Below are 24,307 nucleotides of genomic sequence, written 5' to 3' on the forward strand. Positions count from 1 at the left end.
TGGTTCTGTTGATCTAATACAATTATTTTAAACATATGCAATGCAGGCCGGGCGCGGTGGCTCACGCCTGTAATCCCAGCACTTTGGGAGGCCAAGGCGGGCAGATCACGAGGTCAGGAGATCGAGACCATCCTGGCTAACACGGTGAAACCCCGTCTCTATTAAAAATACAAAAAATTAGCCAGGCGTGGTGGCAGGCGCCTGTAGTTCCAGCTACTCAGGAAGCTGAGGCAGGAGAATAGTGAGAACCTGGGAGGTGGAGCTTGCAGTGAGCCAAGATTACACCATTGCACTCCAGCCTGGGCAACAGAGCGAGAGTCTGTCTCACAAACAACAAACAAACAAACAAACAAACAAACAAAATGCAATGCATATTAAAACAAAGATAAATGCTTATATACAAAGAATCTATAAACTTATATATGTATATATGTTACAAGCATGTTTTATCTATGTGTGTGTGTGTGTATGTATATAACAAATATGATCTTCTTCCGATGTAGAAGACAGTAGGCTAACATCAACATACATATCTATGCTTATGAACAGCCTAGTATACATGTACACATGGAAGGCAAAGGGCATAAGAAAAATAACAAAAAAAATCTTAAATATAACAGAATGGATTCAAGATAGAAACACATTATTGAGAAAAGCTAGGAACTTCAATGCCTTAGAAATATTTAAAAACAAACACAGATAGTGACTCATTCAGAATTACTGAGATGAAATTCTGAACAGACTAATTTTTTGCCAACTAAAACATGAATATAAATAATATTTACCATTAGCAAGCATGCCAGTTTTTTCTTCTTCCTAAATTAAAAAAGGAAAATGATGATATGTTTTGAAACCAAAATTATGTAAAATTACCACAATGCAAATAATAGCAAAATCTGAAATCCAGGGCTTTTTATTCCACATTGAAACGATCAGGAACTGTGTTTTCTAGGCTTCTTTCACCACTGACTCTCATTTATCAATAATTCTTCAAGACTAGCTCTGACAGAATGTCTAAAATTCTCTTCTAAAACTTGGCAATTACCAAAATTAATTTAGACCTTAAAAATTCTTGCTTAAAGTATTTAAGTTCCATTTGCTCATCTACCTTGCTCAAGAATTCTCTGGTTTTTTTGAATGTCAAGATAACAGAGCTATTTCACACAAGAGTTCTGCAATTATAGCATTACCAGTCTATTTTCCCTTACTGTTCAAAATTAATGACTAAATCTTGTACTCATTATTTCATCTATGTTTCAAAAGATACAACTTTCAGAAAGACAGGCCACCAAACAGCTAGACAGCTGAAGTTCTTCAATATTAGAGGTTCCCTTAGAATAACTTTTCCTATTAATATCACCTATACCTCCTACTTGGGTAGGCAGTTTGTGGGACCTTCCAATAACAGAGCTTTAATCCCTTCCTATTTTGATTCTTACCCAGACAGTGCTCTGAAGCTTCCACAGTTAGGCTGATACCTTTTTATGCATATGGTACACTTTCTAAATATACCACACTATTATGCCTTGTACTGACCTATTCATTTTTCTTTTCTTTTCTTTCTTTCTTTTTTTTTTTTTTTTTTTTTTTTTTTGAGACAGGGTTGCGCTCTGTTGCCCAGGCTGGAGTGCAGTGGCTCAATCTTGGCTCACTGCAACCTCTGCCCCTGGGGTTCGAGCAATTCTCCTGCCTCAGCCTCCCGAGCAGCTGGGACTACAGGCATGTGCCAACCATGCCCGGCTAATTTTTTGTATTTTTAGTAGAGAAGGGGTTTCATCATGTTGGCCAGGCTGGTGACCTATTCATTTTTCAATAAAATATTGTAATTGCCATATTCCAAGTATAAATCTCATTAAATTTCTAAGGATATTCATCAATCACATTAATTTCTATGTTATTTCTAAGGTCATCTCATTTTTTCCTCAAAACTGAGTGACATGTAGACACCCCAGGACCAAATACTAAGTAAACTTGAAAATAAGAAGATTTATAGACACCTGAAAAGTGTTTCTTTTGAGTCCACGTTTTCATTCATGTTAAAAACATCTAGTCCTAACACACAGTACCAAAGAGACTGTGCCCAGATAGAGACCAAAATAATAAATAGTAATAACACATAACAAAACAACAATATTAATTGTTCTACTAGCTACTATTAGATAGCTTCAAAGATAAGTTCTATAAGGTAGGCAATATGAAGTAGTAGCCCTGAACAATTCTTGGTAAGAACTGGGAAATGTGAGAATTAGAGTATGAAGCACCACTGAATGTGAATGGAATCATGTAGTTCCTTATCTTAGCCAAGTAAGTTTCAGACGTTAATGTTGTGACTAGCATAATTATTAGGGAAGGACATTTACTATACTTCATAAAGGCAAGTCATACCAAAGAAAAAGTATAAGTTAACATACTTGTTTAAAAATTAGTTTTGAAATTTTAATTAAGCTTTCAATTTCTAAAGCTTAACTTAAGCTTAACTTATTTGCCAAAATAAATCTTTTTTTGTTTGTTTGAGACAGGGTCTCACTCATCAACCAGGCTGGAGTGCAGTGACATGATCACAGCTCACCGCAGCCTTGACCTCCCTGGCTCAAGTGATCCTCCCACCTCAGTCTCCTAAGTAGCTGGGACTACAGGCATGTGCCACCATACTTTGCTAATTTTTTAAAAATTTAATTTTTGGAGAGATGAGATCCCACTATGTTGTCCAGGTTGTCCTTGAGCTCGTGGGCTCGAACAGTCCTCCTGCCTCAGCCTCCCAAAGTGCTGAAATTACAGGCATGAACCACTGTGCCTGGCCAAAAATCTCTCATAAAATCATTAATTGTCGTAATTTTTTTCATTAAGATTTACATTAATTTAATATCTTGAGTTAAGAAAATGTTTAACTGAGTATTAGGAGACCTGTAAGTTTACAACAATAAGCAAGATTATGAAGAACTCCATTTTTTGAGCTCTTCATATAGCAATAGGCAGCCAGGTTGAGAAAAAAGTTGCAAAACTGTCAAATATATAATTGATATATATACCTGTTTGGGCACACTTATTTTTTCTGATTTGGAATTCTCTTTGGAAGGCATCTCTTCATCTTTAGTAGTCAACGGTGCACCAACATACTCATCTTCAAAATCATCACTGTAATTTTCTGAAGAAAGTAATTTTTAAAAGTACAAAGACCACATTGTTAAAAAAGTCAAATTCCAGGAAAAGGCTGTTGATTTCGAAAGGAAGAAGTCTGTATAAGAATAGTTTATTGAAATAGTAACATAAAGATGTCTTTAGAGAATCTACAGAACTCTCCAGCCCAAATCAACAGGATATACATTCTTCTCAGCATCACATCACACTTATTCCAAAATTGACCACATAGTTGCAAGTAAAGCACTCCTCGGCAAATGTAAAAGAATATAAATGATAACAAACTGTCTCTCAGACCACAGTGCAATCAAATTAGAACTCAGGATTGAGAAACTCACTCAAAACCGCACAACTACATGGAAACTGAACAAGCTGCTCCTGAATGACTACTGGGTAAATAATGAAATGAAGGCAGAAATAAAGATGTTCTTTGAAACCAATGAGAACAAAGACACAACATACCAGAATCTCTGGGACACATTTAAAGCAGTGTGTAGAGGGAAATTTATAGCACTAAATGCCCACAAGAAAAAGCAGGAAAGATCTAAAATCGACACCCTAACATCACAATTAAAAGAACTAGAGAAGCATGAGCAAACACATTCAAAAGCTAGCAGAAGGCAAGAAATAACTAAGATCAGAGCAGAATTGAAGGAGATACAAACACAAAAAACGCTTCAAAAAATCAATGAATCCAGGAGCTGGTTTTTTGAAAAGATCAACAAAATTGATAGACTGCTAGCAAGACTAATAAAGAAGAGAGAAGAATCAAACAGATGCAATAAAAAATGGTAAAGGGGATATCACCACCGATCCCACAGAAATACAAACCACCATCGGAGAATACTATAAACACCCCCTAAGCAAATAAACTAGAAAATCTAGAAGAAACGGATAAATCCTGGACACATACACCCTCCCAAGACTAAACCAGGAAGAAGCTGAATCCCTGAATAGACCAATAACAGGATCTGAAATTGAGGCAATAATTAATAGCCTACCAACCAAAAAAAGTCCAGGACCAGACGGATTCACAGCCAAATTCTACCAGAGGTACAAAGAGGAGCTGGTACCATTTCTTCTGAAACTATTCCAATCAACAGAAAAAGAGGGAATCCTCCCTAACTCATTTTATGAGGCCAGCATCATCCTGATACCAAAGCCTGGCAGAGACACAACAACAAAAAAAGAGAATTTTAGACCAATATCCCTGATGAACATGGATGCAAAATAAAATACTGGCAAACCGAATCTAGCAGCACATCAAAAAGCTTATCCACCACGATCAAGTTGGCTTCATCCCTGGGATGCAAGGATGGTTCAACATATGCAAATTAATAAACATAATCCAGCATATAAACAGAGCCAAAAACAAAAACCACATGATTATCTCAATAGATTCAGAAAAGGCCTTTGACAAAATTCAACAGCCCTTCATGCTAAAAACTCTTAATAAACTAGGTATTCATGGGAAGTATCTCAAAATAACAAGAGCTATTTATGACAAACCCACAGCCAATATCATACTGAATGGGCAAAAGCTGGAAGCATTCCCTTTGAAAACTGGCACAAGACAGGGATGCCCTCTCTCACCACTCCTATTCAACATAGTGTTGGAAGTTCTGGCCAGGGCAATCAGGCAGGAGAAGGAAATAAAGGGTATTCAATTAGGAAAAGAGGAAGTCAAATTGTCCCTGTTTGCAGATGACATGATTGTATATTTAGAATACCCCACTGTCTCAGCCCAAAATCTCCTTAAGCTGATAAGCAACTTCAGCAAAGTCTCAGGATACAAAATCAATGTGCAAAAATCACAAACATTCCTATACACCAATAACAGACAAACAGAGAGCCAAACATGAGTGAACTCCCATTCACAATTGCTTCAAAGAGAATAAAATACCTAGGAATCCAACTTACAAGGGATGTGAAGGACCTCTTCAAGGAGAACTACAAACCCCTGCTCAACGAAATAAAAGAGGACACAAACAAATGGAAGAACATTCCATGCTCATGGATAGGAAGAATCAATATCGTGAAAATGGCCATACTGCCCAAGGTAATTTACAGATACAGTGCCATCCCCATCAAGCTACCAATGACTTTCTTCACAGAATTGGAAAAAACTACTTTAAAGTTCATATGGAACCAAAAAAGAGCCTGCATTACCAAGACAATCCTAAGCAGAAAGAACAAAGCTGGAGGCATCATGCTACCTGACTTCAAACTACACTACAAGGCTACAGTAAGCAGAACAGCATGGTACTGGTACCAAAACAGAGATGTAGACCAATGGAACAGAACAGAGCCCTCAGAAATAATACCACACATCTACAACTATCTGATCTTTGACAAACCTGACAAAAATAAGAAATGAGGAAAGGATTCCTTATTTAATAAATGGTGCTGGGAAAACTGCCTAGCCATATGTAGAAAGCTGAAACTGGATCCTTTCCTTACACCTTACACAAAAATTAATTCAAGATGGATTAAAGACTTAAATGTTAAACCTAAAACCATAAAAACCCTAAAAGAAAACCTAGGCAATACCATTCAGGACATAGGCATGGGCAAGGACTTCATGTCTAAAACACCAAAAGCAATGGCAACAAAAGCCAAAATTGACAAATGGGATCTAATTAAACCAAAGAGCTTCTGCACAGCAAAAGAAACTACCATCAGAGTGAACAGGCCACCTACAGAATGGGAGAAAATTTTCACAACCTACTCCTCTGACAAAGGGCTAATATCCAGAATCTACAAAGAACTCAAACAAATTTATAAGAAAAAATCAAACAACCCCACCAAAAAGTGGGCAAAGGATATGAATAGATACTTCTCAAAAGAAGACATTTATGCAGACAACAGACATGTGAAAAAATGCTCATCATCACTGGTCATCAGAGAAATGCAAATCAAAACCACAATGAGATACCATCTCACACCAGTTAGAATGGCAATCATTAAAAAGTCAGGAAACAACAGGTGCTGGAGAGGATGTGGAGAAACAGGAACGCTTTTACACTGTTGGTAGAAGTGTAAACTAGTTCAATTGTGGAAGACAGTGTGGCAATTCCTCAAGGATCTAGAACTAGAAATACCATTTGACCCAGCGATCCCATTACTGGGTATATACCCAAAGGATTATAAATTATGCTACTATAAAGACATATGCACATGTATGTTTATTGTGGCACTGTTCACAATAGCAAAGACTTGGAGTCAACCCAAATGTCCATCAATGATAGACTGGATTAAGAAAATGTGGCAAATATACACCATGGAATACTATGCAGCCATAAAAAGGATGAGTTCATGTCCTTTGTAGGGACATGGATGAAGCTAGAAACCATCATTCTGAGCAAACTGTCGCAAGGACAGAAAACGAAACACCGCATGTTCTCACTTATAGGTGGGGATTGAACAATGAGAACACTTGGACACAGGGTGGGGAACATCACACACTGAGGACTGTCATGGGGCGGGGGGAGGGGGGAAGGACAGTATTCGGAGATATACCTAATGTAAATGACGAGTTAACGGGTGCAGCACACCAACATGGCACATGTATACATATGTAACAAACCTGCACGTTGTGCACATGTACCCTAGAACTTAAAGTATAAAAAAAAAAGAACTTTTTCTTTTGCAAACATTTAATGAGAGTTCAATTTATAAGACTATCTTTGGTTTCTGTCATTATGGTACTTTCAAATAGTTCTCTGAGTTTTATATTTTTAGTCTTTTATATTATTAACCAAATAAAAATTTCTAGAGCTGCCCAAAGAATCTTGAATTACCTTTAAAATAAGACTTTAATATTTATTTTTAAAAGACAAACATGACCAATTGCTTACTTATAAAAGGAAGGACCTTTGTGAAATCTTGCCACTTTTAAAAAGGTTGGATTTTGTTTTTCAGGTTGATTGATTTTTTTTTTTTTTTTTTGTCTCTACAGGTATCTCTACTGTAAGTCTTAACTAGTACTTATGAAAGATCTCTGACCCTTCCCTTAGGTAAATACTGGCCTTATACAACCTTTGCTGTTTTCCCAATCCTGAGTGCTTCTTATCTGAAGCCTCCAAATTATATCTCAATGACTTTGTGCAGAAGGAAAAAGTGTCTCCATGTTAACTGAGGCATTCAGTCTACTTATGGGGAAGGTTGGACAGGAATTATTTGGCCAGGATCTCTTCCTCAATTTTTAACTTGCTCACAGTATTAATTTAGATCTGTAGCTATAAAAGGGGAACACCTTTTCAGAGTGGAACTGATCATTTTGGAAACAAACATGATCTAATTTGTATTTCAAAAAACTGCATCACACTGAGAAACAGGATGGCTTGATGGGAAAAAGACTACATAAGGTACTAGAGTCTACTTCTGGAATGGCTGTTTTTTACTCTTTTGTTAGAATGAAGACGAAGACGACAACTTGTGTGTAATTAATACTGGAAGTGAAGAAATGAATTTGAGAGGGTTTGGGAGTGAAACAGGGATGCTTCCAGTGAGATCTGGCTACAGAAACATCTACATTTTAGTTCATAAGAAATATGAGCTTGGAACAGCATGTGTATTGTAACTTAGGTAGATAAACTAGGTTAGTTGGTTAACTATGTCAATATTTGTATTCTGAGGCTGAGAAGTTCACTTTTGTTTCTCTTCCACATGAGAAAGAACACTGCTTGGGATTTTCTAATATCAGTAGACATATAGTTAAAATCACAAGATAGTTATAAGTAATTACTTTGTATTAGGCACACTTCTAAGTGCTGTGAACAATACAAGTTGATTAAGACTTTAGTAGTCTAGGTGGGAACCACCGAATTTTAAGTGACCCTCGAGATTAGACTTGCTTAAGAAAAGATGATGAACAAGGAAAGAGGAGATATGGGAGAATATGACACTGAACTTGGACAACTACTTAGGATTTGGGAACTAATAGGAGGCGCTGTGGTGTGTGTGTGTGACTGCATAAAGAAAGTGTTAGAAACAGTTCAGGCAGTATGGCATAGTGCTTAAGAGCATGACCTGGAGCCAGAAGGCCTAAATTCAATTCCCGGTTCCACTACTTTCAGCTGTAGAACCACTGGCAGGCCACAAACTCCCTTTGCTTCACTTTTTCCATCTGTAAATTGGGGATAATAGTACTTTTCTCAAAAGATTAATGAGATGATTAAGAGTTAAAGTGTTCAGAACGGTGGTTGATATGTAATATGCACTGTATATAAGTGTTAGCTATAATGTTTATAGTAATTATTGCTGTTAATATTATTATAGCTACTTTTTTTTTTTTTTTCTTGAGACGGAGTTTTGCTCTTGTTGCCCAGGCTGGAGTGCGATGGCACGATCTCGGCTCACTGCAACCTCTGCCTCCTGGGTCCAAGCAATTCTCCTGCCTCAGCCTCCTGAGTAGCTGGGATTACAGGTGCCCGCCACCACGCCCGGCTAATTTTTTGTATTTTTAGTAGAGACAGATTTCACCATGTTGGCCAGGCTGATCTCAAACTCCTGATGTCAGGTGATCCACCCGCCTTGGCCTCACAAAGTGCTGGGATCACAGGTGTAAGCCACCACACCCGGCCTATTATAGCTACTGCTGTACTTAATCTAAATCAAAAGTTAATACAGCCAAGTATGATTTCTGATTGGGAAAAGTGCCAATCTAATAAGCATTCATCAAAACTACATTTTATTATTTTCATTTAGTAACTAAGCAGCCTACAGGCAAATACTAGCATCCAGTACATGAATGACTGACTTCCTCCCCAGAAACCTGTCATGAATAAAGTACGTCTGAAGTAAGAAGGAAGTGTCATTAGTAGACACAGAGACAAATGAGAGACGAGAAACAAAGAAAAGGAAAACAGCACATGTCAGAGATTTCAGGAACAAACATCAAGGCAAATTAAGTTTATATAAAAATGAAAGAGTAAAACAAATTTGAGAGGGTGATTCTTATATGAGAAACATCAGAGATAATATCTAGACTCTTCCACATTGTTCGGAAAACAATCAGAATATTTACTTGTACCACTCTGACCTTTTTCGCAGGTAGATGTTACATATTCAAGTTACTGGGTTTCTATGATTCTCTATCCTTGTAACTTCAAAAATGTTATTTTGAGAAATAAAAATGTTCTTAAAGCTCAGATAAACCATATGAATTGTAAAAGAACCTTTTGGAAGACATTTTTCATCTTTTGTTGGCAAACTTAGCTGCAAATTTTTAATTTTTTGCCAATCTAGAGGACTTTCTCCTCTGCCATGTTGGAGTTAAAGGGATTGTACTTTCTTTGTAAACAACACAATATATAAAACAACTATTTTCAGATATTAGACAACTGGCAGCAAAAAAATGTGATTCCTAAGAAAACAAGTGAGCTAGCCTACAATTACCTGAAGGCACATATGTTCTGAAGTAGTGAGCAGGGGCGGGGAGATTGGGACAGTATCACTGAGTAGAGGAGAGCGAGATAAGTTCAGAAAGGCTGAGGCAATTTATAAAATATAAGACAGTAATCAAGAGAGGAGGTGCCTAAGTGAAAACAAAGCCCCAGAAATCTGCATAGGGTGCCCTTGAGTCTTTGCTGAATACTAAGCTGTTAATGCATAAAATGAGCCAAGAACAAGTGGGATGCTGTAAGTTAGACAATTCTCACAGTTCATACAAGACAGGGAGACTTTTGAACTCTAATCTGCTTAAGTGGAGAGACCTCATTGATCACTAGGGGCATTGGGATGTGCCTTAGCAGTAGGGTTAGAGGTTACTAGAGCTACTCTAGACTTCTGCTAACAAAGCATAAGAAAAGCCTTGAAAAAAATCAAGTGGTAGGATCAACTACTTACCAGACAAGGCTCAATAATACTCTTTAAAAGAAGAAAATAAAATCCAGACACTGAATAACATAAAATTCACAATACCCAATATCCAATAAAAAATTACTAGACTTCTAAGAGGCAGGAAAAAGTGTCACGAAACTAAATAGCCAACAGAAAAGACACACAGAAATGAACAAATACTGAGATCTGTAAAATATGTTTAATATTAAGGACTTGAAAAAAATGAACATAATGAAGAAAAATGCTAAAGAATTTTAAAACAAAGATCCAAAATGAACTGTTAGAGTGAAAGAAAAAAAAAAAGGATGGGATTGGGCCAGGCATGGTGGCTCATGCCTGTAATCCCAGCACTTTGGGAGGTCAAGGCAGGCAGATCATGAGGTCAGGAGATCAAGACCATCCTGGTTAACACAGTGAAACCCCGTCTCTACTAAAAATACAAAAGATTAGCCAGGTGTGGTGGTGGGTGCCTGTATCCCAGCTACTCAGGAGGCTGAGGCAGCAGAATGGCATGAGCCCGGGAGGCGGAGCTTGCAGTTAGCCGAGATGGTATCACTGCACTCCAGCCTGGCTGACAGAGCAAGATTCTATCTCAAAAAAAAAAAAAAAAAAAAAAAAGAGATTAATAGCAGATTAAAGAAAGGAAAAAAACCAGTAACTTGAAGCAAAAGAACAGTGATAGGAACTGTTCTATTGTGAACAGTGAAGCACAGAAAGAAAAAAAGTTTTTAAAAAATGGAATAGTCTTAGTGACCCATAAAACAAAGCTTAGCATTCTAACATAATTAGGGTCAGAGGGCAGGAAGCGGAAAGCAGCATTATTATTAATATTTTAAGAATTTATGGCCAAAATATTTTTTATTTTGATGGAAACTATAAATCCATAGATCAATGATGCTCAACCAACTCTGAACAGAATAAATATAAGAAAAGCATACCATGATACACCATAGTCAAATTGCCAAAAAAAAAAAAGGATAAAACCTTGAAAATAGAGAAAAAAAATACATGATATATACAAAATCACAATAATAGGAATTACCGGAAACTTCTCATGAGAAATAAGGTCAAAAGACAATAGAATAAAATCATTAAACTGCCCGAAGGAAAAAAAAACACTACATAAAATTCTGTATCAAGTAAAAGTATTCCTCAAAAACAAAGGCAGAGTATATTTTCAGACAAACAAAAGCTGAGAGAACTTGTTCCTAGCAGTAACCTGCACTACAAGAAATGTGAAAGGAGGCTCTTCGTGGTGAAGAAAAATAATTTGAGATAAATTCAAATCTACACAATGGAATACAAAGCACTGGGAATGGTAAATATATGGATAAATACACATTTTTACATAAATATCTATTATATTCCTTAAAAGTACTTTTAAATGATAATTGATTGCTTTAACAACAATAATAATAATGCACTGTGGTGTTTTTAAGACATGTAGAAGAAAAACGTTGACAAAAATAGCAAAATGGTTGAGGAGAGTTTATTGTTGTTAGAGTTCATATAAATACAGTGATATAACATTATTTGAAAGTAGATTGTGATAAGGTAGACATATATTGTGACTCATAGGGCAACTAAGAAAAAAATACAACAAAGAAGAATAGCTAAAAAGCCAAAATAAGAATAAAATGGAATACTATAAGTAATACAATAGAAGGAAGGACAAAAGCAACAAAAACAAGAAGATGAAAAGAAAACAAATGGCAAAACCGTAAACAACTATATCAATAAATACACTGCTGTAAAGGGTAAAAACACATCAATTAAAAGGCAGAGACTGTCAGATTGAACAAAAATGCTAAAACCAGCTATATGCAGTCTATGAAAAAAACCTTTTTAAGGCAGTTCACTTTCAACAATTTCTTAGCAGCTCAGTTTATAACACAGGCAAACCCACTCTATTCAAAGCTCTGAGACAATATGATTTTCCTTTTAATTATTTTTCTTATTAATGTCTTTATTAAAAGCTATATTATCTTTTCAAATATTATAAATTTAAGAACCAATGAAATTACCTGCCAGTTCTTCATGTTTCGATTCATTCTCATGTTCGTCATCAGTTAGTTCTGCGTTGGCTTGATTACTGGAAAAAATATTTATTTAATTTAGCATTACATGTTAAAAACATATTCTCATGCAACTCTTTCTGTATACCGTTTTAAAAAATCCCTAAAATTATACATGTCCTCTCTCAAGTCCTTTTGTTCTATCAAAAGCTAAAAATTTGGGAACTTTAAGGAAAACGTTTTGAAAATAAAGCATCTTCGAAGCATTTGATTAATTGCAGTTTAAAAGTAATACAAAGGAAAAAGATGCCCTATTTCTTAAATATACACAATTTTATTACTATGTGCATTTACATGTACAAATATTATCTTACAACCCTAGATATCCCTTCTACACTAAAGATTAGAAACTGACCACAAGCTATGAGAACCAGTGAAGTCCATATGAAAGCCAGAAAAAAAATGCTAAGGTCAGCACTTACATGCTAATAAGCAATTTAATCCTGAAACAGAAGCTGAATAGGAGCCTTAAAACAAAACCTAAGCAAGGGGACAAAGGAGCTTGAGTATGATTTAATTATATTGGATGTATTAGTTCATATACTGCTTTCTCTCAAACCAAGAATCAGTTCTACCTTTTCAGTCTATCAACCCTATTTAGTGAGATCGTTAGAGAAACTATAAGACTATATAATAATGATGAGAGCTACAAACACCTAATATTGCATGTTCAATGCTATTCTGTACTTTGACCGGCCTGTTCTACAGCAGAAATATCAATAGATAAGAATACTGTTAAGAAATAAGAAAAAAGTTAAAAAATGTAGCAAAGTGGCAAAAAGTTGTGGCCCACAAACCCGCGCATGCTTAATCTGTATTGACAACGTTGGGAGAGGCAATGACCATAGGCCCTGAGTGTCCCTGCACATTCTTGCTGAATATGCCAAGAGTACAAGATGCTGATCATTTTTCACCATGCCATTTGGGTAACATTTCCGACCAAACAAAGAGCAGGCTTGTTTCCACTTACTATAAAAGTAATACATTTTCGCTGGGCGCGGTGGCTCATGCCTGTAATCCCAGCACTTTGGGAGGCTGAGACAGGTGGATCACAAGGTCAGGAGATCGAGACCATCCTGGCTAACACAGTGAAACCCCTTCTCTACTAAAAAATACAAAAAATTAGCCAGGCGTGGTGGCAGGCGCCTGTAGTCCCAGCTACTCGGGAGGCTGAGGCAGGAGAATGGTGTGATCCCGGGAGGTGGAGCTTGCAGTGAGCCAAGATCGTGCCACTGCACTCCAGCCTGGGCGACAGAGCGAGACTCCGTCTCAAAAAAAAGTAATACATTTTCCAAGCTCAGTGTTCCTCTTCTGTAACACAGCCCATTGTGTGTGAATACATCCATTATGGATCCTTTGACTTGCCCTCAGCATAATCATAGGGCATGGGGAACCAATGCGAACAAATGCGACACTCAGGTACTGCCTTTGTTCTTTAATTCTGATCCAGGAATCTTCTGTCTATTGTCAACATCATAAAACCGGAAGGCTAGCTTGTTAGCTTGCCAAGTAGGGTAAAAATCTCAGACCCCGCAAAGTTCATGAAGGTAAATGCATTTCTTTATCCACTGTCTATAAAAAACTAACCATCCTGCAGAGCCTAGGCACTCTAATAATCAGAGATTATGATTCTCCTGACCCTTAATTATACCTTTGTGATCTCAAAATCCTAAATAAAATTATGATCTTCTTTCCATTCATAATTTTAAGAATTACATGGATAACTAAATAAGGGCATTAAAGACCTCAGGTTTCAAAGGTCTTGAGAATGGCAATGGTCTAGTGTAATAAAGAGAGGACCAGTTCAGTGAACTAGTGGGATTTCTAGAATAAATGAGGTTTCCCGATAACCATCAGGGCCAACCATACAGAGGTTAAGACACAGATCAAACTTGTCTTTGCTCCTTGGTTCCCACTTCCCTTTCTGTTATTTTTTTTCCTGAGTTTATAATGGTAACCTGGACTCTCTTTATTTGTCTGTGGAAAATGAATTAATAAATGACTTTCCTAGTAAGGACTTCTTGGCAATGTACTATTAGTCTCAATAGCATGAAATTTCAGATTGTGGAGGCAGCATGGGCTCTCAAATACCAAGAAACATATTCTACTCACACATAAGAAAAACCCTAACTATAAAATGAACAGATAATAGATTTAAAAAATAAGATTTAAGTTTGCCTGTTATAATGTTTACCTATTTAAAATCACACATATATCAGCCTTCCAAAAACATAGAAATCATAAAAATCATTAATAGTTTACACTGTACTTTACCTATGTAAAGCTTTAAAATGTGTAGAGTCATTAGAATCCAATTCCTTATTTAATCTCGAATAATCAATGGAAGATGTCAAGCCTTTCTCAAGCCTGGCAAAAAATTGTTCTTTCTCCTCTTGTTCTTCTAATGTGTCCAATCCCACTCCGAGACTACTATGGTTGAGCTCAGAAACTACTAGTTCTAAATGGAAAGCACAAATATATTTTAGTAATATACAGAATTTTGAAAACATTGATTTGAATGATGCATTTATTGACATTATGTAGTAAATTTTAAAAATTTTACAAATATTTACTCTCACTCACCAAATATGAATTCATATTAATAATACGTAAGGTTTAAAGCTTCTCTAGAATAATTCTAAACCTCTAGGAAGATATTAAATCTGTCTACATGCTTCAGTAAAGGAGGCTTCAAGATAATTTTTGTAATTCTGAATATAAGCATAACAATTAATAATTTACCAACTCATATCCCTTGCATTTCTTACCATTTGTTTCTAAGCTATCAGTACTTAAGAGAGAGGTTCCACTGCTCTTAAGAAATTGAATCTTTTCAGCAGACTCCTCTTCTATTTCCATAACAGGCTGAGAAGTCTTCTTTGTTTTCAAATAGCTCACATTTGTTCCAAGAAGTCCTAGGTACACAATTTAATACAGATGAAGATTTATGTTCAAAGAATTGTTTTGGCCACTATGACAACACAATAATAATGTTATGCTAATTTTGTGCACAGTAGCTATAAAATAAATCTGCTCTATTAAATAAAAATCCATCAGACCTAACACTCACAAAAGAAAGATTATAATTCTATTTGGTGGCACTGTATCATATTAAATAGAATACTTCAAAGAGTTGCACCATGAGACAAAATTTTTTAAAATTACTTTGAAGTAATTACAAGTACTTAATACAGTATACCATGACACTTCAAAGAGTATCTTCTGCCTTATTCCCTCTGTTCTTTACATTTCTCAGAGAGTTTTTGGTGCTGAACTCTTAACACTATTGGAAATAGACTGTGGGTGGCATGAATTACTATAACAAAATACAAGGTGGCAAAGTAGGTACAATTAAAAACCTACTAGGTTAGACAGAAGCCTTCGTTAGTGTAAATATCATTTCAAAAAATAGATGGAAATAGTAAAAGCTCTTTCAAAGTCATTATTTCTAAAACAATGGAATCAGTGGCTCACTGCAGGAGAGGTTCTCATGCCAGGTTATGTGCATACTGTTGGGGACGGGAGGGTATTATAGTCTCTCACAGCATTCAGGAATTTGAAATTTTCTCTAAGGCTAATATATATTAAGCATATTAAAAGTTTTTTATGACTGATTAGATATTTGATGATACTAAGAAATTATTATAGATATTTCTTAGACATTATTATGGTTATATTTTAAAAAGAGAGTATTTATTTTAAGAGATACTTTGAAATATATGTGGAGAGAATTGATATGCTGTTGGAGATTTGTTTCAGTATAATCCTGAGTGTCAGAAAGTGGAGAACAAGAGAGAATATTGATGAAAAATGATTGACCATGAGTTAATAACAACTGTTGCAGCTAGGCAATGGGTACATGGGAGTATGTGGTACTTATGTATATGTTTGAATTTTTTTATAATAAAAAGTTTCAAAAATGTTCTATGAATCCTGGGTAAAAAAGTATAACTTATGTTTATGTAGCAAAGGTTCTGAGTATTACTTATTTTATTCAAATTTTTTGACAAACTATGTACCTAGAACATTGTTAGTGCCAGCTATACAATGAAGTCCTTTACCATCACGAAGGTTAAAATCTAACAGGAGGAGACAATCAACAGCAAATATTTATGGGTGCCTACTACACACCAGGCATTGTTCTAAATGCTGGGGCTTTATCAGTGAATAAAAAAAAACAAAAATCCCTGCTTATTCATGTGATTTGAGGCAGGCAATAAGTAAAATAAGTAAGCACATTGCAATTAAATAGTACATTAGAAAACAGTTAAGTGCCAAGATGAAAAATAAAACAAGAAAGAGGAACAGAGAATGCAGGAATGGAGGGTACTACAACTTTAAATAGGATGGTCAGGAAGGCTTTCACTGAGAAGTTAACACGTGAGCTATGGCTTGGTGGGGGTGAGGGACCAATCCACATGAATACATGGGGGAAGAGTGTTTAAGGAGGAGGAAAGCAGTGTACAGCCTCTAAGCCAGGAAAATGCCCAGGCATGTGTGAATAGAAAGGAGGCCAGTGTAGTGATACGGGCATAAGCAAGAGAAAGGTAGTCTAAGTTGGGAGGCCAAAAACGTCAGGGTGCAGGACTGGCATGGGTGGTAGCTTAAAGGTCATTAGCTTTTATAACAAGTGAAATGAGAAGCTATTAGAGGGAAGAGGTGGCTATGATGTGGCAGGCAAGATTTTTTGGTGTAAACAAGTTTAAGGAACTCGGAAGTCAGGTTATTAGAGGCATTAGCTATGTAGTTAATGTAGTCACCAATAATTAGACAAGAGAATTGGAGACTCACAGTGAAACAGCAGCTAAAATCTTTGAGGAATGAGGAGGAATAACCCGGAGTTCAGTAGATAACTGCAACAAAGAGACACAGTAGATAGGTGGTCTGATAGCAAGGTTCATAAGGAGATTGGAAGAACGGTCTAGAAACAGCAATGAACAATAACCTACTCCTTTTCCAAGTCTAATGGAACAAGAGACGTGGCAAAGAAAACAGTAACCATTGGAGGTTACCAGAGAAGCAGCAGTATTCACAGAGCAAAGTTAAATGTGAATTACAACTCTGCTTTGAAGGAATTATATAAGATTAATTGGGGGGGTATACCAAGACAGGAAAATCCAAGAATATTTCCATGAGGAAGTAACATTTCTGCTAAGATGTGAAGAAAGACCAGGAAATAATTAGGTGAACTAGGCCAGGGAGACCAGAACAGGCAGGGGACACAGTAGGTACAGAAGCATGACAATGGGAGGGGCAGGCCACATTTGCAGATGCAAAAAGGCCAGTGAGGCTGGACCCAGATGGTGAGCGTAAGCCTAAGAGGAAATAAGCCCAGAGCAGGAAGTCAATGGTTGGACCGTGCTCGTCCTCATAGGCCAGCAGAGGGTCTTGCTCTGTATTCCAAGAGCACTAGAAAAAACTGGTAAAGCTATACAGTATCAAAATTTCCTTATTTTAATAGTATATGTTTGTTGTAAAAAACTGATATATGGAAAAGGTAAATAATTATGAGTAATGTTTTATTTTTGTTTTTTGCTTTTTAATATTCTTTTGTTCTTTGTTTTCTTCAAAAACCAGAAGACTGAAAATGTGTGCTATAAATATGAAGATTAGAAAAAATATCACTTTTGGTAGGAGGAAGCCTTATTAAGAAGTCACGAATTTTGACTTCAAGTTCCTAATTTGTGTCCTCTTGGAAAAGGCTAAGAATCAATTTATTTTATGCCTTTCTGTGAATAATGGTTTTACTGGATCAAATAATAACCTCCATAAGTTGTAAAAAATCAAGAGAGAGATTCATAGATGCTTCAAATGAAAAAGTATATGCCAAGGTTGGTGTGCTGTAGTGGCAACATGTCCAGGGTCTCACCCTGGCTCTAAAGCACGACTTGAGGTTGTAGCTCACACTAACCAAGTTCACAAGAGATTAATATAACAGAAACGAAGATCCAGTTTAGTTATTTACAATAAAGAATACAATCAGCAAGAGGATGAGATAGTTTCACCTTCTAAGCCGAACATTTTATTCCTATGGCAACTGGGAAACAAGCAAAATTATAATGTAAAAGCCGCTCACTGTTAATGTTTAATGGTACCTGTCTTAAGATTAATAATGCATTCCTCTTCTCAAGAGGAGTGTTGAATTCTCCCTCAGAAGGTTCTACACTCTTGATACAGGAATCACGTCTTGCCTTTTCATAATAATGCCTAGTATTTAGAACATAATACAAACTCAGTAACCGTTTGCTTGAATCAGGGACCAGGTTATTCCCGTGGGCAGGGAAACCTCCCGCTGTTTAAGCTGACATTGTCAAAGTTTGCTTCTTGACTATCCTTCTTTACTTCTTTTACTAATCAAATCTATTTCTGATACATTTAAAAAAATTATTAATACCATCAATCAGGTTACATGTGAGTATTTTTGGTCTAGGAGCTATTCTTTTCCTGTAGGATTAGGTTGTATATATCTGCTCTGATTCATTATCTTCTAGACAAAAGGCTTTGTGTCCCAAATCTTTGTCAACAATTCCAACAGTACTTCATCTTATAATATCCTTTTCAAGCATTAAAAGCAGGGAGAGAGTCTAAAACATAATTCTTCACTACAAAGTTCAGCATGTTGCATAAGAATTTATAAAAAATGCACTGAATTTTTCAATAAGGAATTTCTTTAAATTACAGTATTAAAAAGAACAGAGAAGTAACTGTCAAATCTACTTTAACATGCATTTATTAAACAAATTTATCATTTAATGTTGAGGGTCAGGGGATACAAGGACAAAGAAGTGTTTCCTACCCTCGCAAAGCTCCCAACCGCAGGAGTTGTCCTATAGGTTACAACTATCAACACAATGTGTAAGTGTTACTATGGTGTTCTGACATCAAAATGAAGGAGAAACTAATTGTGACAAGAGAGCTAGAAGATAGAGTGAAGGACTGCAAAAAGTGGTGATGCTAGGCTTTATTGGGCAAGAAGGATGAGAGGAAAGGCATTCTAATGGCAAGGAAGCATGAGATAATGCACAGAGGCAGGGAGGCCTATGGTGTTTCCAGGAGATGAGGAATGATTACCTATGGCTACAGTACACGAGAAGGCAGGGTTCCAGTCAGATCATGCAGAGTCTTAATTATGACATGAATTCAGGCTCAATTTTCATGGGGAGGGGGGGAAACCAAAAGCCCATATGTATATTTTTTCCCTAGAGATACAGAAATTCTATCATTTTACAAAATTGTGCTTAACACTGATCCACAAATGGTGTGAATGTAGGTACTGAAATAGAAGCAGTCGGGGTTGTTTACAGATGTGGCAGTATCATGTATAGTAAACCTATCAGGCCAGGAGTGGTGGCTTAGGCTTGTAATCTCTGCGTTTTGGGAGGCCAAGGTGGGAGGACTGCTTGAGGCAAGTTCGAGATCAGCCTGGCAACACAGTGAGAGACCCTATCTCTACAAGAAATAAAAAAAATTAGCCAGGCATGTTGGCATGTACCTGTAGTCCCAGCTACTCAGAAAGCCGAGGTGGGAAGATTGCTTGAGTCCAGGAGTTTGAAGTTACAATGAGCTATGATTGTGTTACTGCCCTTCAGCCTGGGCATATCATATACATATATATGAGAGACATATATACATATGGCAGTAAATTTTTTTTTACTACTGTCATTAACAAACTGTGATACCAAGGTCTATAGGTTTGTTAAACTCTTCCCAATGCAATGACATTAATATACTGCCAGAATATCTTATTAAATCACCTTAAATCAATTTATCATTAAACATGATAATAAATATACCTGAATTGTCACCTTAATTTGAGTAAATATAAATTATCTCCATGTAAAATAAGCTGATAATGTTATAACGCAGATTCTCAATTACATAATAAATACATAATAAAGTACTGGTTATATGAAAATCAATTCAAACTTCAAAAATCCACACTATTAGTATTATTTTCTGTATATATTTATAGTGAAGTAACAAAATCCAGAAGTCTTGACTGACCCCTTGTGGTCAAATAATTTGAAACTAAAAATCAGCAACATTTACCATCATCTTTAAAATCATCTTCAGTTATCCACCAAGGCACTGTATCTTTCTTCTTCATCTCTTTTTTAGATTGTCTAGCTGTTTTGTCTGAATTTTCAAAAGAATCATCTGAAAGCTGAATTAGATATAAGACATTCAATTTGAAAATACAGTGTAAATTCAAGAATCTCAGATTCATCATTAAGCATGTTTCTATTAGTTCGCTCACAGTTCAGCTATCACATAGATAAATAACATTCTCATCAATAACGTATAATTTCACAGCTACAAACATATTTGGCCAAAATAACTTAAAAATCAGACACACATCTCTGAGCATCAATTTCATAATTAAGTAAACCAGGAGAATAACAACAAAGACGTAAAACTTGATCAAGAATTTTTTTCAGCAAAGAAAAAACGGGAGGATACAGTCCTGTCTTCTAGACATTCTCTAGGGTTTAAGAATAAATAATGGCTGAACAAAATTGCATAGCACCACTCTAGAAACAGAATTTCAATATAAGGAAGAACTGAGTTTCAGGGTGTAAAGAGGAGGATGAAATTGACCAAGAAAAATCAGCATTTTTTTTCAGTGATTGATAAACACTTATTTGCTTTTTTCTACTCTTCCAATCCAATTTTTACTACAATCCTAAATCCCATGCTCTAACCTCAGTATCACCCCCCACCACCTTAGCCAATAACTTGGTCACCCTTTTCTCTGAGAAATAAAAACCTTCAAACACCACCCACCTCACTCCACTACTAAACTTACTTGTGAAGGCACTTCTTTCGTCTCTCAGACAACACAATTCTTTCCTCCACTCCAAGCAGAACTTCTCTAGGTTCTTCCTTCCTTGGTTATCCCATTTGATATCTGTATCTTCACTCCCTTCTCTCTCTACTCCCCGCCCTTCCCTCTGATTATACACCTGCTCAGCACTGCATCTCCAGTGCCTAGCATAGTACCAGGCACAATTGCGGAATGAAAAAATGAGCATTCTACTCAACTTTGAAAAAAAAAAAGTAGAACAAAACAAAAAAATTCCTTATCCCTACGTCCCTTTTACTCTATCACATTTCCTTGATATACCAACTCCTTGAGTTCACTTAACCCCTTATAATCTGGTTCCCAACCAAAACAGCTCTCCTCCAGGCACCAAAGGCCTCCGAAATGCCACAAATAAAGTACCACTGTCAGTTATCCTCCCTGATCACATCATGGAATTTGCTACTGGTGATCAACTCTTAAACTCTTACTTCTTGAAACTCTCTACCTTGACTTTAGTAGCATCACTTCCTCCGGGTTATTCTTCAGATCTGTGGCTACTCCCCTCCATCTATTTTAATAGCTTTGGCTTTTTGCCCATTTATTTAACAGACTTTTCCAGGACTCTGCTCTTGATCCTTTTTCAATCTCATTCTACATTACTTTTTCTGGAAAAGAAACCAACATTTACTACATGCCTGCTCTATGTCAGGATCTACACTCAGGTTAACTCACTTAATCTTTAAACTACCCTGCAGAAATTTACTCATGGTGAAACTGAAGCTCTAAGAGGCTAAGCAACTTGCTTAAGTTGCTACTGTTAGTAAGTGTTACAAAGTCACATTTAAACCCATGTCTGACTAACTCCTGTCCACTTTCCACTATACTATGTAGTTCCCCAACTAGAATATTGTTATCTGAGTGACCTTTTAAACTTCTAAAATGACAGGGCGCACACGCGCGTGCACACACACACACACACACAATCTTCCACTTGCCAAACAAAAAACTCTACCTCAGTGACTTGAAGAATGTCAATTTAAAAATGTTCAAGAAGAACTTAACTGTCTTCACTAACAAACAGGTAGGAAGACAGGAGGAGGGAAGAAAAAATATTCCTTAAACCATCTGAATTTCTGAAATTAGTTAGCTGCATCACTTTTTACTTACTCTCTAAACTTCAGTATCACCTTGAGGTGTTCCATTTCTCTTTCCTCCCATTTTTTCAATTTATCTGTAACATAGGCATGGTACTACTGACCTTGTAGGGCCATGACAAAGAAGAAAAAAAGAAATGAAGACTTCTAATACATGATAAGTGTTCTTACTTTAAACAACCTTCCACAGTGCTTCCCAGCACTTTCATTAATTATTTTTAATGAATATGATTCATTAAAAATAAAACAAAACAGGCCGGGCGTGGTGGCTCACACCTGTAATCCCAGCACTTTGGGAAGCCGAGGTGGGCGGATCACGAGGTCAGGAGTTTGAGACCAGCCTGACCAACATGGTGAAACCATGTCTCTACTAAAAATACAAAAATTAGCTGGGCGTGGTGGCGCATGCCTGTAATCCCAGCTACTCAGGAGGCTGACGCAGGAGAATCACTTGAACCCGGGAGGCAGAGGTTGCAGTGAGCCAAGATTGCGTCACTGCACTCCAGCCTGGGTGACAGAGCAAGGCTCTATCTCAAAAATAAATAAATAAATAAATAAATAAATAAAAATAAAAATAAAATAAATAGAAATAAAACAACAAAAAGGCTGATTCTCAGATACAACAGTTGTTGGCAAGGATATGGAGAAACTGGAACTCTAGGCTGGGTGTGGTGGCTCACACCTGTAATCCCAGCACTTTGAGAGGCCGAGGCAGGCGGATCACTTGAGGTCAGGTGTTTCGGACCAGACTGGCCAACATGGTGAAACCCCATTTCTACTAAAAGCATAAAAATTAGCTGGGCGTGGTGGCAGGCGCCTGTAATCTCAGCAATTTAGGAGGCTGAGGCATAGGAATTGCTTAAGCCCAGAAGGCAGAGTTGCAGTCAGCCAAGATTGCACCACAGCACTCCAGCCTGGGCAACAGAGCAAGACTCAGTCTCAAGAAAAAAAAAAAAGAAATTGGAACTCTGATAAACTAATACACTACTAGTGGAAATGTAAAATAACACAGTCATTTTAGAAAATAGGCAAACACACAGCTACCATATGATACAGCAATTTCACTCTTTGGCATATACACAAGAGGAACAAAAACACATCCACACAAAAACTTGTACATGATTGTTCATGGCAGCATTGTTTGTAACTGCCAAAAAGTGGAAAGAACCCAGATGTCCGTCAACTGACAGGTGGAAAAACAAAATGTGGTACATCTACACAATGAAATATTACTTATCCATAAAAAGAAATGAAGTGTTAATACATACTACGACATGGATGAACCTTGAAAACATCATGCTAAGTACAAGAAACCAGACCCAAAGGGCCCCATAATATATAATACAATTTCTATGAAATGTCTGTAACAGGCAAACATTTAGAGACAGAAGTCAGCTTAGTAGTTGCCTAAGGCTAGGGAAGGGGGAACAAGGAGATGGAGTAACTGCTAACAGATATGGGATTTCTTTCTGGGGTGATAAAAATTCCTATAATTGATTGTGGTGATGGTTACATAACTCTGAAACCACAGAACTGCACATTTAAAATGGGTGAATTAAATGGTATGTGAATTATGTCTCAATAAAGCTATTTTTAAAAAGCTGGTTACCACTACTGTCCTAAAAAATAAAGATATATAAACTATGTCTTTGAATAAATTGTTTGAACAATAATTTATCAAAGTGAGAAAAGTTAGCATGACTCTAAAATCATGACTTTCACAGTAAAAAAAAAATGACACATTGCAACTGAGGATGGATATAAGAGGAAGAGAGACACAGACAGAAGGGTGGGGGAAGGAGAGTGTTGGAGAATGTGTGTGCTGGAAGGGTGGTAAATGAGGGAAGAATAAAAACATCTTCTAAAAGGCCTGTTCTGCTATCTTTTACAATAAAAATCATTCCTATAAATTTAATTTTCAAAATGTGTCTGTATTTGAAATTTTAAAAAATCAACTTTTCAAATGGTAAATGAAACTTATTCCAAGTGCCTATTACATCTTGACAATTGGTAGATGCTTTTTTAAATCCTTAAAACAATTCTACAAAGAAGGCATTATTTTTCCATGAGACGGATAATGAAGTTTTTTTGTACTACATTAAACTCCCTTTTTTAACAAGAATGTATAACGTATAATAGCTTAAAATGTGACTCTCTTGAATGCTCTACAAGGCCCCTCCATTTATATAAATAGAGTTTTATGCATCGCTTAATTATGGGGATATGTTCTGAGAAATGGGATTTCATCATAGGAGCATCATAGAGTATATTTACACAAACCTAGATGGCTCCAT

At 36.5% G+C, this 24,307-nt stretch overlaps 1 protein-coding gene across 11 annotated transcripts in view; it reads right to left on the reverse strand.

Moving 5' to 3' along the window:
• The window catches only part of CEP162 (centrosomal protein 162), a 103,394-nt gene that overhangs the window by 76,702 nt on the left and 2,385 nt on the right, over positions 1-24,307 (reverse strand). For 7 of the 11 annotated variants that reach the window (XR_007059227.1, XM_005248674.5, NM_014895.4 and 4 more), the window contains 6 exons: positions 20,106-20,220; positions 14,825-14,971; positions 14,331-14,514; positions 12,006-12,073; positions 3,030-3,145; positions 786-816 (listed from right to left, as the gene is read on the reverse strand). Coding sequence is in view for 10 of the 11 variants with exons in the window: in NM_014895.4 (NP_055710.2) it covers positions 786-816; positions 3,030-3,145; positions 12,006-12,073; positions 14,331-14,514; positions 14,825-14,971; positions 20,106-20,220 (661 nt within the window). In the remaining variant the exon portion in view is untranslated. Of the gene's footprint in view, positions 1-785; positions 817-3,029; positions 3,146-12,005; positions 12,074-14,330; positions 14,515-14,824; positions 14,972-16,847; positions 16,910-18,151; positions 18,263-20,105; positions 20,221-21,364; positions 22,218-24,307 lie in introns of those variants that run through there. The other 4 variants (NM_001286206.2, XM_017010483.3, XM_047418387.1 and 1 more) reach the window with 4 other exon arrangements.

This window comes from Homo sapiens, chromosome 6, assembly GCF_000001405.40.
Source record: "Homo sapiens chromosome 6, GRCh38.p14 Primary Assembly".
Taxonomy (NCBI): Eukaryota; Metazoa; Chordata; class Mammalia; order Primates; family Hominidae; genus Homo; species Homo sapiens.